The sequence below is a fragment of the Homo sapiens genome, chromosome 5 (assembly GCF_000001405.40).
Source record: "Homo sapiens chromosome 5, GRCh38.p14 Primary Assembly".
Taxonomy (NCBI): Eukaryota; Metazoa; Chordata; class Mammalia; order Primates; family Hominidae; genus Homo; species Homo sapiens.
Window position 1 is genome coordinate 152266090 of NC_000005.10, and position 17085 is coordinate 152283174.

At 39.8% G+C, this 17085-nt stretch overlaps 1 long non-coding RNA gene across 1 annotated transcript in view; it reads left to right on the top strand.

Moving 5' to 3' along the window:
* The window catches only part of LINC01933 (long intergenic non-protein coding RNA 1933), a 311552-nt gene extending 307192 nt beyond the window's left edge, over nucleotides 1-4360 (top strand). The window contains exons 2-3 of the long non-coding RNA NR_109876.1: nucleotides 1176-1266; nucleotides 4106-4360. This is a non-coding gene — a long non-coding RNA (long intergenic non-protein coding RNA 1933). The remainder of the gene's footprint in view (nucleotides 1-1175; nucleotides 1267-4105) is intronic.
* Nucleotides 4361-17085: the final 12725 nt, after the last annotated feature.

Below are 17085 nucleotides of genomic sequence, written 5' to 3' on the forward strand. Positions count from 1 at the left end.
TTGTTATAGGTTGTGTCTCTCAAAGAAATCAGGAAAATTGGACCTGTTAAATGTTTGGTGATGGACAATGAGCTTTTTAAGGTCTTTGGCTGTAACGTGTCCTTGGAAGCAAGGAGCTCACTCCGTTTGGTTCCTAGAAAGTTCCTATGGTTGTGCTATCATCACTTCTTGACCTTGAGAAGTTGCCTACTGCACTCTCTGGCTTCAAGCAAGACTTTATCTAATTCTTCCTCAAGAAATCATCTGCTTTTAAAAATATTCTTACAGAAAAGGGGAATCTGTACTCTTTTTAAATGATCTTTAAATAAAATTAGACTCCAAAATAGCAAAATTGGAAGAAACAGTGAGGATTATTTAAGCCAATTCCTCCATTTTTTATGTGAGGCCTAGATGAGGGGAAGGGATGGAAACATCCGCAGTTTACATGGTTAATTACTATGCAGCTTGGTGGCTAAGCGTTTGGTGGGCTCTGGAGCTGGGTGGTCTGGGTCTGAGTCCCAGTTCTCTACTTGCTAGCTTAATCTCCTTGTGCCTCAGTTACCTCACTGTAAAATGGTGGTAATAACAGTGCTTTCCTCACAGGATTGTGGTGAAGATTAAGTAAGTTTCCATGTGTAAGGCACTTGGAATAGGGGCTGGCACATAGTAAACAATATATGAGTGTTTACTATTCTTGTTGTTGACAGCACTAGGATTTGAGTCCAGATTGCTTAACTTCCTTGTGTAGTGCTCTTTTCATTTCCTTAAATTCTCTTCCACCAAGATCTTTTTTGTAACCAGCTGAGGTTTTTCCAACTTTAGTTTGACCCATGACCACCAGTTCTCTTCTTAGTCTGGATACCTATGTGGTTCTTATGCATATCAGTTTCACACACTGTGGCCATGGGACTCTGAGGTCAGATAGAATTGCATTTGAGTTCCAACCTTACCACAGAGAGGTTACTTAGCCTCCCTGTGCCTCTGTTTCTTCATTTGTACACTGGGGATACCAAAGACCACCTGCCTTATTAAGGTTGCTGATAGGGTTAAATAAGCGGCTATCTATAAAAGCACTCAGCAGAATGCCAGACACTTGCTAGATATATAATACATGGCAGGCAGTACATTATTGTTATTACTGCTGTTACAACTCCTTATGGAATTTTCCAAGTCATAAGTGTACTTTCCTCTTGCAGATTATCTGAGTAGGCTGAACCATCGGTGAAAAGGAGGCCAAGCATCTCAAAAATAGGACACGTGAGAGTATGGAGCCAATGTGACACTCAGGTGAGTTAGCCTTATGATCCCTAAGCATGCAGTCCTTGGACCAGATGCATCAGGATCTTCTGGTAAGTGTGCTAAAATATAGGCTACTGAGACCCACCCTATGTCTGTCAAATCAGAATATTCTAAGGAAGCAGGTCCCAGGGAATATATATTTTAAAGCTCCCTAAATACACTTCATGGGCTGCCAGATTTGGGAATCGCAGGATTAGGTAGCTACCTAAATGAAGACACTTAAATGTGCCAAAAGCTTCTCTTTCACCCATCCATTTATCCATCTATTCACCCATCCATCAACCAAACATGTGCCAGTATCTGGTATTTGCTTCATGACCTGCTACTGCTGTGGTGGGTGCAAAGATAAATGATCAATGTTCTCAAAGAGTCAATAGTCTAAGAGAATGGATGAATGAAGTATAAATAATAAAAGATGTGCTATGAAGTACGATAGGGGTCCAGAAAAGTATATACTTATTCCAGATTGTGGCAGAAGACTCTGGAGAGGTTTCGTTTTATATAATGGCATGAATTCCCCTTCAGATCCATCTCTAAATCAAGCTTCACCTACTTCTGACTGTTTGTGTTAGATACCAATCCTATGGATTTCTATAGTTTTCTGGAATTACTTTTTACACACTACAGTAGAGTTATGTGGCTGCTTCCATGTTTTACTTAGAAGCTGAGAGCTTGATAAAAGTGAAGGCTGCATCTTAATCATCACCTTTTCCCCCACCTCCTAGCTAGGGTCTGGCTCTGCCTAAGCAGCTGCCATTGGTGCTCAATAAACATTGAAGAAGTTGGGTTGTTGCACTGGTTATGCAAAGAAAGGGACACAGTGGGTGTAAGCGTGGGGCGGGGAGCAAAGCTGGGACCAATCATGGAACACCTAGAATTTGAATCAAATTTGGGCTTTAGTTTTTAGGCAATGAGCCTAAGACAATTTTGGAAGCATCCTTTGTTCACAAAAAAGTTAGAAATGGTGAGAACTAGGGCAGTCTATCACAAAGTGTGGGAGAGGTAATTTTATATGTAAACTATTATAAATCACATTTGAGTTATGAAGTGAGACAATTATTCCCTTTGCAGTTTCATTTCATTCTGTCTAATTATTTCAGGGAGACATTCTGAATTGGGTGCTAGTATTTTAACACTTCTCTAACACTTTCTCTTTTTAAATTTTGTTTATTTTTAATTGACAAATAATAATTGTGTATATTTATGGGGTACATTGGGCATGGAGGGTGGGTTATTCTGTGATGTCTTGACCTGTGTGTACATTGTAACACTTCTCTAATACTTTCTAATCCAGCCATCCCCAACCTTTTTGGCACCAGGAACCAGTTTTGTGGAAGACGATTTTTCCACAGATGGTTGGGGGATGATTTTGGGATGGAACTATTCCACCTCAGATCATCAGGCATTAGATTCTCATAAGAAGCATGCAACGTAGATCCCTCACATATACAGTTCACAATAGGGTTCATGGTTCTATGAGAATCTAATGCTGCCACTGATCTAACAGGAGGCAGAGCTCAGCTGATAATGCTTTTTCACCTGCTACTGACTTCCTGCTGTGTTGCCCAGTTCCTAACAGGCCATAGACTGGTACCAGTCCATAGCCTGGGGCTTGAGGACCCCTGCTCTATGATGTCTATACAACAATAAAATTGCCTAATGATACATTTCTCAGAATGTATACCCATCATTAAGTGACACATGGCTGCTTGTGTATTTTTATATATAGCTAAATGTGGCTAGATTAGATGTGATATCTCTTTGGATGCAGGGATAGGTGGGCAAGTTTCTAAAACACGAAACTAACTGTGTCTTTTCTCTGCTTAAGAACCTTCCATGACTCCCTGTTGTTCATAACCGGATAAATTCTAAGCTGCCTAACTCAGAATTCTAGCTTAGAGATGTCTACGCCTGGCTGCTCCCAACAGTTAGTCTCATGTCCTGTCTCAAACATGGGGCTTCAGTAAGAATGAAATTTCCAAGGAGAATTTTATATTCTGCATGCCTTTAAAGGCTCAAGCCTGGAGACCCCCCTTCTTGCCTCTCTTACCCTTTTCACCAGGGCACCCTCTATTCATCCTTCCAGAGCCTTCTCTGGGAAGTCCTTTCCCAAAGCCCACTTCCCAGCCTAAGCTTAGTGCTATTTCTGTAGATACCCAGAAACACATCAACTATATGTACAGTTTACCCTAGTATGTCAAAGTTATAGTTACTGCCTTAGGAGGGATTTTGAGCTTTTCATCTTTATTACTCGGGCTTCTGCTACTGTGTCAAGCAGGTAGTTGACACTCAACAAATGTTTGTTTAGCCTAACTCAGCAGAACACATGGAGTGTGTTCACATGGAGTAACCTGATTTTGCTTAGTCTGCAACATTTCTTGCATGCATCCCCTGCTTGCAGTCTCAATTACAGTCATCCTGTTTCAGTTTTCTTAACTTGTCACTCCCTTCCTCTGATAACTTTTGCCATACCTCTGTATAACATGGCCTACTTTTTGAAAAAGATTTTTTTACATTCACCTACATTTGTCTCAAATTTTTTTTTAAAAGAAACTTTGTATTACTACCGTCATTGAAAACCTTCATCACTTGGCACAAAAGAAAGTTTAAAAAATACAACAAAAGACATTCTACTAAATTCTGGCTAGACAACCTTGCCTGCTCTAGTAGATGCACTGAGACCATTAATGAATCTTTCATCCCACCTTGTGTCATATTCTTTGCCACATGACTTTGGGTCTCCCTCACTACTAGGCAAGTTCCTGTCTCCATCTCTTGATTCTGAATTCAGCCATAATACTTGCTCTCCCCAATGTTGTTTTAGCAGATTTGACACATACAGAAGCGTGAAAAACTCTTGTGTGACTGGGATAGCTCCTCTGCAATGAGAACATGCCTGGGATAATGTACTGAAAAGATGTGAGAAATACATGAAGCAGAGTCCAGTCATCCCAGCCAAGAACCAGCTGTGAATGTAACCGCATGACTTTGAGGCAAGTCCAGACCAAGAACAAAGAACCACTGGTCTTAAAGACAGACCTGCAGATTCCTGAGCTAAATAAAAGTTTATTGTTGAAAGGCACTGAGTTGTTTTTGTTTCCTACAGATATTAATGTGGCAATAGATAGCTAATATACCTGCCAAGGCTCTGAGCCTGAGACATGTTTTCTCTTTGCTAAAAAGATAGATTAGAACAGGGGTCCCCAAACCCCAGGCCACAGACTGGTACAGGTCTGTGGCCTATTGGGAATTGAGCCACACAGCAGGAGTGGTGGGTGAGCCAGCATTATCACCTGAGCTCTGCCTCCTGTCAGATCGGCAGAGGCATTAGATACTCATAAGAGCATGAACCCTATTGCAAACTGCATATGCAAAGAATCTAGGTTGTGTGCTCTTTATGAGAATCTAATCCTGATGATCCAAGGTGGAACAGTTTCATCTGGAAACCATCCCCCTTCCCTGCTTGGGGAAAATTGTCTTCCACAAAACTGGTCCCTGGTGCCAAAAAGGTTGGGGACTGCTGTCATAGAGCATATTTACACAAACCTAGGTGGTATAGCCTGCTACACACCTAGGCTATATGGTATAGCCTATGACTCCTAGGCTACAATCCTGTACAACTTGTTACTATATTGAATGCTGTGGGGAATTGTAACACAATGGTATTTGTGTATCTAAACATATCTAAAAATAGAAAAGATATAGTAACATAGGTTATTATAATCTTATGGGACCATTGTTATATATGCTGGCCATTGTGGACCAAATATTTATAACCTGTGACTATATACATATATATAACATATATGTGTGTTTATATTTATATTTATAATACATTTATTTACATAAATTTTTCTCTACAAAAATTCCTGCCAGGTAGTTTTCCTCCTTCTGTTTGCAAACCTCCAGTGACAGGTGGCTTATTATTAGCAAATGAGCCTGTTACAGTCCTGATTGTAACTGGATGAAAAAGATAGACTTCAGCAACACAAAACTGGAAATGGGGATTGTTGCAGTAATCCAGGTGAGGGACATGGAAGAGCCAAAACGAGCAGGAAGAGTCCGGATGTAATGATAGAGAAGCGAACTCCTTTGGTTGATGCTAAGTGCCAAAAAAATGTGAATTGTGTAAAATGTGAATTGTAAAGTGGTTGTGCTCACTTTAGAGCCCAAACTTACTGCATGAACAACTCCCAAACCACACAAATATCTACTTTTCCTTTAAATGGACAAAGCAATGCTGACACCCAGTGGCTGGTTCAGATTACCCACAGCTCTCAGAGAGAGGATCCCAAGGGAGATGAAAGTCAACTTGCTCAGCCCCGACCATCAGAGCACAACCCAGGATCTTTAGCTGAAAGGGCGAGTCTAAATTCAGCCAGTAATAGCCAGCCATGTGATGTGTTTGACACCACATAAAGGATAGTTCCCGGTAAGTTTAATGCAGATAAAAGACCCAAATTTAACCTGCAGATGAGAAGAGTGTTGAATCAAAGTCAGCCCCTTGGGAAACAGAGACAAAAGCAATTACCCTGAGTTCCCTGGAAAACTCCCATCCAAAGCACCAATAAGAAATGAAATAGTTAAATAGTTGACTGGCTTTGGTTGGAAGCCAGTCAACTCCCATTCTGACACAGAGTCAGGATGTGATAAAACAACAAGGAACTTGACAAATTGAATGGACAAACTGGTCCAAGGGGGGAAATGAGTTTGCTAAGGCCTAAAAGCAAGCTAATGGCAGAGAGGAAACACTAGTGTGCTTCCTGCCTGACCAGACTTAACAGCTGGAGCTCTAGTAGCCATCTTGAACCATGTGACAAGGGCCACAATCTTAGGATGGTAGAGAGGAAAGTAGAAGAGTCTGTTCATGAACAAATTCATGGGGCTGTCATACCAACCTGCAGTGTAGATCAGATTTTTATGAACTCTCATCCATGCTCAAAATGTCAATTATCATCTGAATGTCATTGATGCTGATTGTCTATCTACTTGATGTCGCCATTTGAACATCACAGAGGAACGTTCAGAACAAAACTCAGGATCTTCTCCCCACAAATTTGGTTTTCCTTCAGTGTCCCTAAATGACACCACCATCCAGTGCACAAACCAGAAGTAGAGGAGACATCCTTGACTCCTTTCTTTTCCCTGACCCCCATAACTAAAAAATCACAAGGCTTGAAAACATGACTTTATATTAACCCACTTCTTAATATTCTTTTCATCATTGCTCCAATCCTCCCTGCTTTATCCATTGGACACATTTTGCTTGTTTGTTTATCACCTCTTTCCTCCGTAAAAGAATGCCAGCTTCCATGCCTGCCCCACTTTGCATTCTGCTGCTCTTTCTTCAGACACTCTATTTTATTACAGTCTATTATTTTCTTCATACCTTTTATCTGCATCTGAAATGATGTGTATTTGTCTATGAGACTAGGGGTCTCATCTGTCTTGTCCGTGGTTTTTGACTAATGTAGTGAGAAAAGAGCAGAGATTTTGTCTATTTGCCTCACTATTGTATAACTAGCACTCAGAACTGTGCCTAGTACAAAGTAGGTGCTTAATGAATGCTTCTTGGTGAGTAAATATGAATATAGATACACATGTAATGTACATATAGTGCTTGGGCAGTAGGAGGATCTGGCAAAGGAGGTCCTGGGTTAGCAATTACCTGGTTACAGACTGCAACTCAATTACCTGTGCCTTGTTATTTTTGTAGTCAATGGTGTGAAAGCCAATGTTGCGTATCTGCCAAGGACTCGAAAAGGCAGTCTGAGGTTTGATATCATCATCATCATCTGATGAAAAAAAGATCAAACCTAGCTCTGAAAGGGGAAGTAGGGTACCTGGTGGATGTTGTCTTAGGTCAACTTGGGCTGCCACTTTTATTTTCTGTTGCTTTCCCTAACAGCCAGCGTCTATAAGGAAGGTGGTTGTCTACTTGTTCGTGCCATAGTTTAGCTGGTTTTTGACTGAATCCATGAAAGAAAAGGAAGGAAGGAGGGAGGGAGGGAAGGAAAGGGATAGAAAAGGAAGGGAAGAAAGGAAGAAAGAAGAGACAGAGAGACAGAGAACGAACCTGTTCTATGTAAAGTATTACAAGGGAAATAAAGAGAAGGTCTTTATACTTCCTGTTTTGTTCATTCCCTGACCCCACATTTGAATTCTTTATGTAACAGCCAGAATAATCCTTCCCTCTCCCTCTCTCCTCCTCTTATTCCGTCTCTCTCTCTTTTCCTCCTTTCTTTTCTCATTGGCTTAATAAAATAAAGTGAATTTTTACTCCATAACAACTCAACATTAGTGTTCCTGGTTAGCATGGGGCCACTCATATGATTATCTAGGAGCCCCAACAGGGTACCTTTGTCTTGATACTCTGAGCTCTTTTAGGGCCTCAGAGATTTCTACAAACCAGGAAAGAATAGGAAGGATCCTGCATGGAGTGTTTTTATAAGTCAAGTGCATGATCTCTGTAAGATATAAGTTGTATAGTGTCCTACCCTGCGTAAAACTTTCAGTGGCTTCCAGCCACCTTAGAATAAAACTCAAATTCTTCACTGTGGCCTACAGGGTGCTACATGATTGTTCTCACTTGCCTTTTTAAAATTTTATTTTTAACTAACAAATGTTAATTATACATATTTATGGGGTACAATGTGATGTGATGTTTCAATACATGAACACATTGTGAAATGATCAAATTAGGTGGATCCATCATCTCAAATACTTACAGTTTCTTTGTGGTGAGATTTAAAATCCAGTCTTTTGAATTATTAACTGTAATTACCATGCTATGTAATAGACCACCAGAACCTTTTCCTCCTAACTGAAACTTCAACCAACATCTCTCCTTTCCCTGTCCACAACCCCCTGCCCCACCTCCAGCCTCTGGTAACCACCATTCTACTCTCTACTTTTTTTTTTTTTTGTCCATGTGTTCTCATTGTTCGTCTCCCACTTATGAGTAATAACATGCAGTGTTTGGTTTTTTGTTCCTGTGTTAGTCTGCTGTCTACTCTCTAATTCTGAGTTCAACTTTTTTTAGATCCAACATACAAACGAGATGAGATCATGTGGTATTTGTCTCTCTGTGCTTAGCTCATTTCACTTGGCATGATGTCCTCTAAGTTCATTCATATTATCTTAAATGAAAGGATTTCCTGCTTTTTAAGGAGTAATAGTATGGCATTGTGTGCATATACTGCATTTAAAAAATCCATTCATCTATTGATAGGCACTTAGGTTGATTCCCTATCTTGGCTATTGTGAATAATGCTGCAGTGAACATAGGAGTGCAGATAACTCTTCAACATACTGATGGCATTTTCTTTGGATATATTCCCAAAAGTGGGATTGCTGGATCATATGGTAATTCTATTTTTAAATTTTTGAAGAGCCTTCATACTGTTTTCCAAAATGGCTGTACTAATTTGCAATACTACCAACAGTGTACAAGGGTTCCCTTTTCTCCACATCCTCATCAACACTTATCTTTCATCTTTTTGATCATGGCTAATTTAACAGGCACGAGGTAATATCTCATTTTAGTTTTAATATGCATTTCTCTGATGATTAGAGATGTCGAACATTTTTTAATATATCTGTTGGCCATTCTTATGTCTCCTTTTGAGAAATGTTTATTCAGCTTCTTTGCCCTTAAAATAGAGTTATTTGTTTTCATGTTATTGAGTAGTTTGAGTTAATTGTATATTTTGGATATTAACTCCTTATCCAAAATTAACCTACACAACTGTGGCCAATTAATTTTCAACAAAGGTGCCAAGAACACACAACAGGGAAATAACATTCTCTTCATTCCCTTTAGTTGGTAAAACTAAATATCCACATGCAGAATGAAAATTGATCCTCATCTCACCATGTATATAAGAATCAGCTTAAAACGGGTGAAAGACTTAAACTTAAGATCTGAAACTGTAAAACTACTGAAAGAAAACATAAGGGAAAAGCTCCACGACACTGGTTTGAGCAGAGATTTCTTATATATGACCCCAAAAGCACAGGCAACAAGAACAAAAATAGACAAATGGGATTGCCTCAAACTAAAAAGCTTCTGCACAGCAAAGGAAACAATCAACAGCATGAAGAGACAGCCCACAGATTGGGAGAAAATGTTTGTAAATCATACATGGGATAAGGGCCTTGCCTACCTCTTTGATATTATTTCCCATCTTTTTTTCCATCTTCCTTCATTCAGCTCCAAGCCACACAGGCAGGCCTTTTTCTTTTTTTTTTTTTTTTTTTTCCTGTTCTTAACATCCTAAGCTTTTATCTGCCTTGGGGCCTCTGTGTTTGCTATCTCCTCTGCCTGGATGCCCCCAACTCAGCAATGTTGGCTGCTTCTCTTAATTTGGCTAACTCAGCCCAGAGAAACTCTTCTTGCCTTCCCTATTTAGTTTCCTTGCCCCTTCCTCAAAGACATTGTTATATTACATTCCATTATTTTCTTCATAGCTGTAATGACATCTGAAATTATAGGTATTTATTTATTCATGAGAGTAGACACCTATTTTTATTGTATATGATTGTCCATCCTTGTCGACCAGAAGGGGGTCTGGCACTTGGTAGGTGCTTAGTACATGTCTACTGAGTACTTACTGTATGGCAAATATTCCTCTAAATACAGCACAGGCACTAACTCATCCGATTCTCACAACTCTGTAAGAGGACTACTATTATGATCCCCATTTCATAGAAGAAACTGAAGCCCAGAGAGGCGAGGTAACTTATGTAGGGTTATACAGATAAGTTGAGAAGCAGAAATTCTAATTCCAGGGTCTACAACCTTAACCACTGTACTATACTACTTCCAATCAGAATCCCAGTTTTGGAAAAGAATTGAGTATCATTTGATCATCTCACCACCACCAGATGCATAGATATGCTCTGTGACATTCCTTTTGAGGTTTCTTAACTTCTTGAATACTCTGGTGGCAGAGTACCCACTTTCTCCTGGGTGGATCCACTCCGTTATGGTATGTTAGTTTTCCCCTCATGTTGGGATATACTCTGCCTCCTTATAGCTTCTCCCCCAGAGTTCTATTGCACCTGTTCAGACCTCAAAAGGATCCAGCCCTCTGTGCCCCAAGGAAGCCCATCAGCGATGACAGGGTTATTCTCCTGACCTTTCTCTCCTACAAGGTGAATAATGCCAGATTCTTCAGGGTGTGGTTTATCTTTCTTTCTGTGCAAGGATATTCAAAGCCTCTGCTCAAGAAATATACGGGTGAATTCATTTTTTTTTTTTTTTTTTTGCTCCTGGACCCCCATTTGGGAGCTGTGGGCCAGACATGAATTAGTGGGGTTTCTAAGCCCATCTCATCTGATTCGCTGAATCTCATCTCCCAGCCAGGGTGGTAACAAAAACCCATATGGCACAAAAGCAATTCCTTCTTGGGACTGTGGGGGCTGTTATCTGGTGCTCCTTGGATGATGCTATTAGCATTACTTACAGCTCCCATTCTGCCTTCACAGCCTGAAACCACGGGCATGGGAGAGGCTGATAAAGAAACTGGCTTATATATGCCTTTCCTTTCATTGCTGATATGCTTGTCCCTTGTGGGTTTCTTGCAGAATAACAGAATTGTAAAGTGAGGAGAAAAGTTATATCATTGGATTAGGGAATATAGAGTTCCATTGCGAAGAACTGTCTGGGGGTTGCTGATTCAGGGTGTGAGGCAGGCTGCATTTACAGACAAAATAAAATATTTGTGCCTCCCCACCCCTCAAAAAAAGGCAACTTGGTATAGAGGAGACTGGTTGACCTGTGCATAAATACCAGCTCTATTTATTTGAAATACTTTATCTCTCTGATCTTTAAAATAAGGAACTGTACCTATCTGAAACAACTGTTATGAGGCTTAATTACACTTCGGTGTTTGGTGTGCCCTAAGTCCTCAATACACATTGGTTTAGATTCGTTGGACTTTATTGAGGTTTCTTTTACTTGCCACAGTTCATGTTCATGGGATTTAAATCTCTATCCCAGGCATCTGGCTCAACTTGCTTATTAAATGAGGTGGTACCATACAGAGGCAGAGGAATTTCCAGTAACGACAGTTAAATATGCCTGGTGATTACAGTTTTGTGGAATGTTTTCTCATGTGTGATTTCATTTCACCCCTATGACAACCCTATTAGGTAAGGGTAATTATTTCACATTTCACACATGAGAAATCTAGGACACAGTAAGGTTATTTAACCTGTCCAATATCACAGGGTTAGTGAGGATTTGGTCACTATCGTAGCCTAGAAGACCTGGATCAGGGCCTTGCCTTGAACTCAGGTCATCTGATTTTAAACTCCATTCTGGCTTTCCTTTGAATCTTTTGCTGGACTTGTAGAACTTAGCCTTCTGTTACTCATCTCTGTATTTTCCAGGTTAGTGCCTCATACCCAAAGGCACCAAATAGTCATTTGTAGAATTGAAACAAGTTTTAGCAGCTATGGGTCATACATGAATTTTGTAGGAATGAGCTTACTTAATAGTCCCAGTGTACTAAATAAGACAACCTATAAATGAGCTCCCCAACACCCATCCTAGATCTTACAAAAGGTTATTCCTGCCTCCATTCTTAGCTTATTTCTGTCTTGGACTGGAGCATTTGAAACTCCTACCATGAGAACAACTGTGAAAAAAAATGGCTAGTCTGCAGAATCTGTGTTTATGTAAATAAAGGAAGAGAAATGTGAGCATCAGACATTGCTTAGAAAAGTAGCAGTTGGTAGTCGGGAGGGTGTAGGTTTGGAGATCGGTTTCTGATCCAAGCCATATGGATCTTGATAAACATAGATCTCTATGTATCCATTCCTGACTCTAAGGCAACCAACCCATTCCATATGTGGTGTGGCCAGCACTAGTGACAACAGACTTCCAGCCAAACCCTTAGCTTATTATCTCTCTTGACTCATCTCTTTTTGACCTTTCTAGCACCTGGCACCCTTATCTATTCCTAGCTCTCCAGCTCCTGAACCCTTTCCTCCTCTTCCATTCATGGCCTCTTCCTTGGGTCTGACCCTAGACAGTACTGCTCTGGTTCTGACTTCTGCCTTCCTTTGCATATTAGGGTGAATTGGTTTTTTTTTTTTTTTTTTTTTTTTCTGGCTACCGTGAGAAACACACAACTTCATGAGAGTAATTTCCTCCATTTAGCCCTGTTTCTTCAAAAACGAATTGACCTTGTAGAGACTTTGTTTCTAATGTGCAGTAACTAAATTCCTTCATGCCTCCATTTATTCATACCTTCATTCAATCAACTTATACATGTCGATTATCACTTACTTGCTGCGCACACCAGTGCTGGTGTACCATGTGACTAGGTTCCAGTCCTTGCTCCATGGAGCCTGTCACACAGAAGGGGATATAGTGTAGCATGATAGTTAAGAGCATGTGAATGGATATGGGTTCTAAAAATGGCTCTGTTGCTCACTAGATGCATAACCTGTGTGCCTTTGGTCAAGATACTTAATCTCTCAGAGCTTATTTCTCCATATGTAAAATGAGAATATTGCCTAGTAGAATCATTGTACTATTAAGTAAAATTATCCATGTTAGATATTTAGTACAGTGCCTGACGCACACTACACACTCAGTAGACATTGACTATTGTTTTATTAGTGAGGGACAGATAAATAAGATAATTAGAATGTAATGTTATCAATGATATAATAGGGAACATCTTAGGTTAATAATAGGTCCTTATCCAGGTTTCAGAAGGTTTCTTGGAGGAAGTGATATCCTAGCTAATACCTTATGGGTGAGCATGAGTTAGCCATGTTAAAGAAACATGGAACATTTCCGGGGAAGGGAACAACATGTGCAAAGGCCTGGACAAGAGAAACATCATGGCAACACACATGTAGTTCAGTAAGGCTAGATAAATATTTGAGAGTAAGTGGTAAGAGATAAGGCCTGTGTCCTGCTTACTTCCTTTTATTCTGCCTCTTTTGCTTCCCAGGCCATGACCCCATCTCATTACCCTACTTTTCCTCTTTGCACAGCTGTGATTTGCTAGGGGTAAAGGATGCTGAGTGGAAGTTGCTTCCTCTTGATGACTTACTTACATAATTGCTGATGCATGTGCCCCATGGAGAACTTGGAGCCATATTCTATTTAGGGACATTTTAGCCTTACACAGCAGATCCAGCTACTATGATTTGCCTCATTACCTATTAAGAGGACATTTGCATGGACTTAAATGGTTTCCTCACCTTGTTCTTGAGACAGATTTTTCCATGACTGACCATTTGTCCAATAGCAGGCAAGTTGCAGAAGTGAGCAGGAGTTCACTGAGACTTGCTTTTAATTGGTTTCTGGTAGAAACACAGAATGTCAGGCTGGGAGACACTTTATGGGTCATTTCTACTCTACTACGTCATGGAAAACTATGAAAATTTCAATCCTAGACCCCAGAAATTATAAGGTATAGAAAAACGCTGAGGCTAGTGAAAGGAGAGTGATGGCAAATGATGTTAACAGGGAAAAAGTGGTTGCAAAGCTATTAAAATCTGCCTCTCTGATCAGCTGCCTATGGGAAATATGTCTGCCTCTGCCCCAGCTTCATGCACCCCTAGCAGACATTACTAGGAGATGGCAGCACTATTCTTTTGAGCCCAGATAGGGCCTCAGAATTCTTCCAAACATAGTGCTGCAGAGGTTCATGGCTGAGTATGTGGAGCTGGCACTTGTAATGAAACACACTAACTACCCTGAGAACCTCTCTTTTTATATGCAGGGAATGTCAGACCCATCAAAGAGAAGTACTTTATCCAATGTAAACATGCACATTAATGGCAGACCTTAAGTTAGAGTATTTTGCTCCTGACCCAAATCCCTGAAAGAATTTCCTCTGTTTGAAAAGTATCATGAAGGCCAGTTAGATTATTCTTTCCAAAAAGTATGCTGTCATGCCACTCTCCTGCTGAGCATCCCTCAATAGCTTACCATTTCCAATAAAATAAAGTCTAAACATATCAGCAAATCATTCTACATTTTTTCACATCTTGAGCCCAGCTCTAGTCAAAAGGGATCCCCACCCCTTTGTTTATGCCTTCTCATTCAACTCACATCCATGGGTCCTCCAAAGCTTGGGTCAAGTCTTTCAGCTTCTCTGAAACTGGCCAATTTCAATCCAATTTGTCTTCTTCCCCTAAACAATTCTAATGATTACGGTTCAACCCACAACACTTATTGGCATTTTTGAGGTTTTAATGGTGGAAAATGACATATGGCCAATATTACTCTAGACTCCAGTTACCCTGGCCCACTATAAAAGAGCAAGCCACACCTAACAGGTGACATTTTAGTGTGATAGACCCTTCTTACCTGAAAACACAGCCCAACTAGGATCCCAGAATCTTGGGACCAATCTGATTAAAATTCCATTAGCTTGAGGTGTAGGGAGAAGGGGGCAGTGAGTGAGGAAGGGGGCTTAGAGAAATCTCCTTTTCCCTGAAGGCCTTCAGTTAACACACATTATCCCTGCCCCCCGCCTTCTAATTGCTACCTATGTTTTTTTCCAATCTATTTGTAGGGCAGTATCTCATTAATTAATTAAATTAATTTGAATTAATTCAATTTAACAAACACCTCCTGTTTATCAAGCACTATGTTTGGAGTTGGAAATACAAAAATAAACAAGACAAATATTCTTGTTTCATGGAGCTTGTACTCAGGTTGGGGAGACAGATAAGATACAAGTAACAAATAATGCTTTTCTCATCTAGCATACTGTAGGGGGACACAGTATACAGTCAATTAACATTTGTTACCTTCCCTTATTCAATACCTATTTGGATTAGTATCTACAGGGTATACTTGATGGAGGTGTGTACGCATTTATTCAAGTATATTTACTGAATGTTGAAGTATCCAGCAAGTATCTTTTAAATTAGATTCATAGAGGCAGTTAACAAAGATGGACCAGGTGAAGGAAGTAGAACTGTTTTGGAGAATAGTTTGAAACTTTGGTTGACAGGCAATGGTGCTGATATGGTTTGGTTTTGTCTCCACCCAAATCTCATCTTGAATTGTAGCTCCCATAAATCCCACGTCATGGGAGGGACCTGGTGGGAGGTCATTGAATCATGGGGGTGGGTTTTTCCCATGCTATTCTTGTGATAGTGAATAAGTCTCATGAGATTGGATGGTTTTATAAAGGGGAGTTCCCCTGCACACACTCTCTTGCCTGCTGCCATGTAAGACATGCCTTTGCTCCTCCTCACTTTCTGCCATGATTGTGAGGCTTCCCAAGCTGTGTGGAACTGTGAGTCCATTAAATCTCTTTTTCTTTATACATTACCCAGTCTTGGGTATTTCTTCATGGCAGTATGAGAACAAACTTATACAGGTGGTAATTGTTGGTTGTAAACATTTGAAGTGCTACTATATGTAAACATGAATATTTTTTGTTTTCTGGGCATCCAAGAAGATGAAACTGGAATTAGCAAAAATGCCAAGAGGGAGCCGTTAGTTTGATTTAAGTCATTCCTAAATGAGACACATGGTCTTGTATGGATGGGGGCTCCCTGACACTGGAAAAATTTAAGCAGAAGTTGCTGAGTTTGTTGTGGGCATTCAAACATTAAAAAGATGTTTTTCCCAGATTATCACCAATAACTATGTTAACTTTGTATTTGATAATGATTTGTTATGAGGATCATTATTTTGTTTTATGGTTTAGAAAGCATTTTTATGTAAATTATCCGATTTGATTTTCACAAAGACAAGTTTTGTACTATTCCATTTTACAGTTGGGCAAACAGACTTCAAGAGTCCAGTCATCGCTGTTCACAATGGAACCATGATATATGGCTTATGGCTCCACAAACAGCACTTTTTATTGTTTAAAAATGCTTAGACATGCTTGTTGATTCATCTTATAAATACAGAAATGACAGAATGCTGGCTGACAAATTCTTTGTGTCCTATATATCCTTGACTTTTCTCTTTTTTGAGAGGGTCACTGTTGCACACCTCTGATTTTCTGTTCCAACAACTGTATGCTTGCTATTGTAATGCCTGTACATTTCTTGCTGCTTTTTTACTTTTTTCCACATTAAAAAATATATATGTATATGCATTTCCTCTCCAGAAGTTACTAGGCATATTTACTAGTTGATCTAAGAGGTAGTACTTGAGGGGCCAAACATATGGAATTATTTACTTCATGCCTAGAGAATTTCAACTTTGTTTCCTCCCATGATGTTACTCCAGTGTTTTCTTTATTCATTCTTCAAGGGTCAGCCTAAATCTTACCACCTCTTAGAAGCCTTCTGCGTCCTTCTTAGGCTACAAAGTTTTAGACAGTTTTAGTATTTATTGTGTACCCTATTTAGCTTGACTTGTGTACATTCTATTCTCACATACATTTGTCAGTTACATATTCTTGCTGGAGAATAAAATCTTCAGTGGTGTGTTTTTCTCTCTTTTATATACTCCAAATTTCTTGCCACAATGTTGAGCACCTAGGAATGTTGAATAACTACTTGAAGATTTTTAGTTCACCCCCATGGGTTTTAATTCTTCTCATAGATAACATGTTAAAATGTATTTTCTGTTTGCCCTAAAGAAACAGAAACAGTATGTACCTTTGGCTCTAGGTCCTCATTATCTTAGGTTTGAATCTTGGCTCTGCTACTTTCTAGAAATGTGACCTTGAGATGGTTTCTTCACTCCTCTAAGCCTTAGCTGTAATGGGGATCATGATCGTATCTACATTTAAGGGACATCATGAAAGTCAAATGAAGGAAAGAAAAAAATTTTTTAGCACAGTGCCTGGCACATAGTTAATG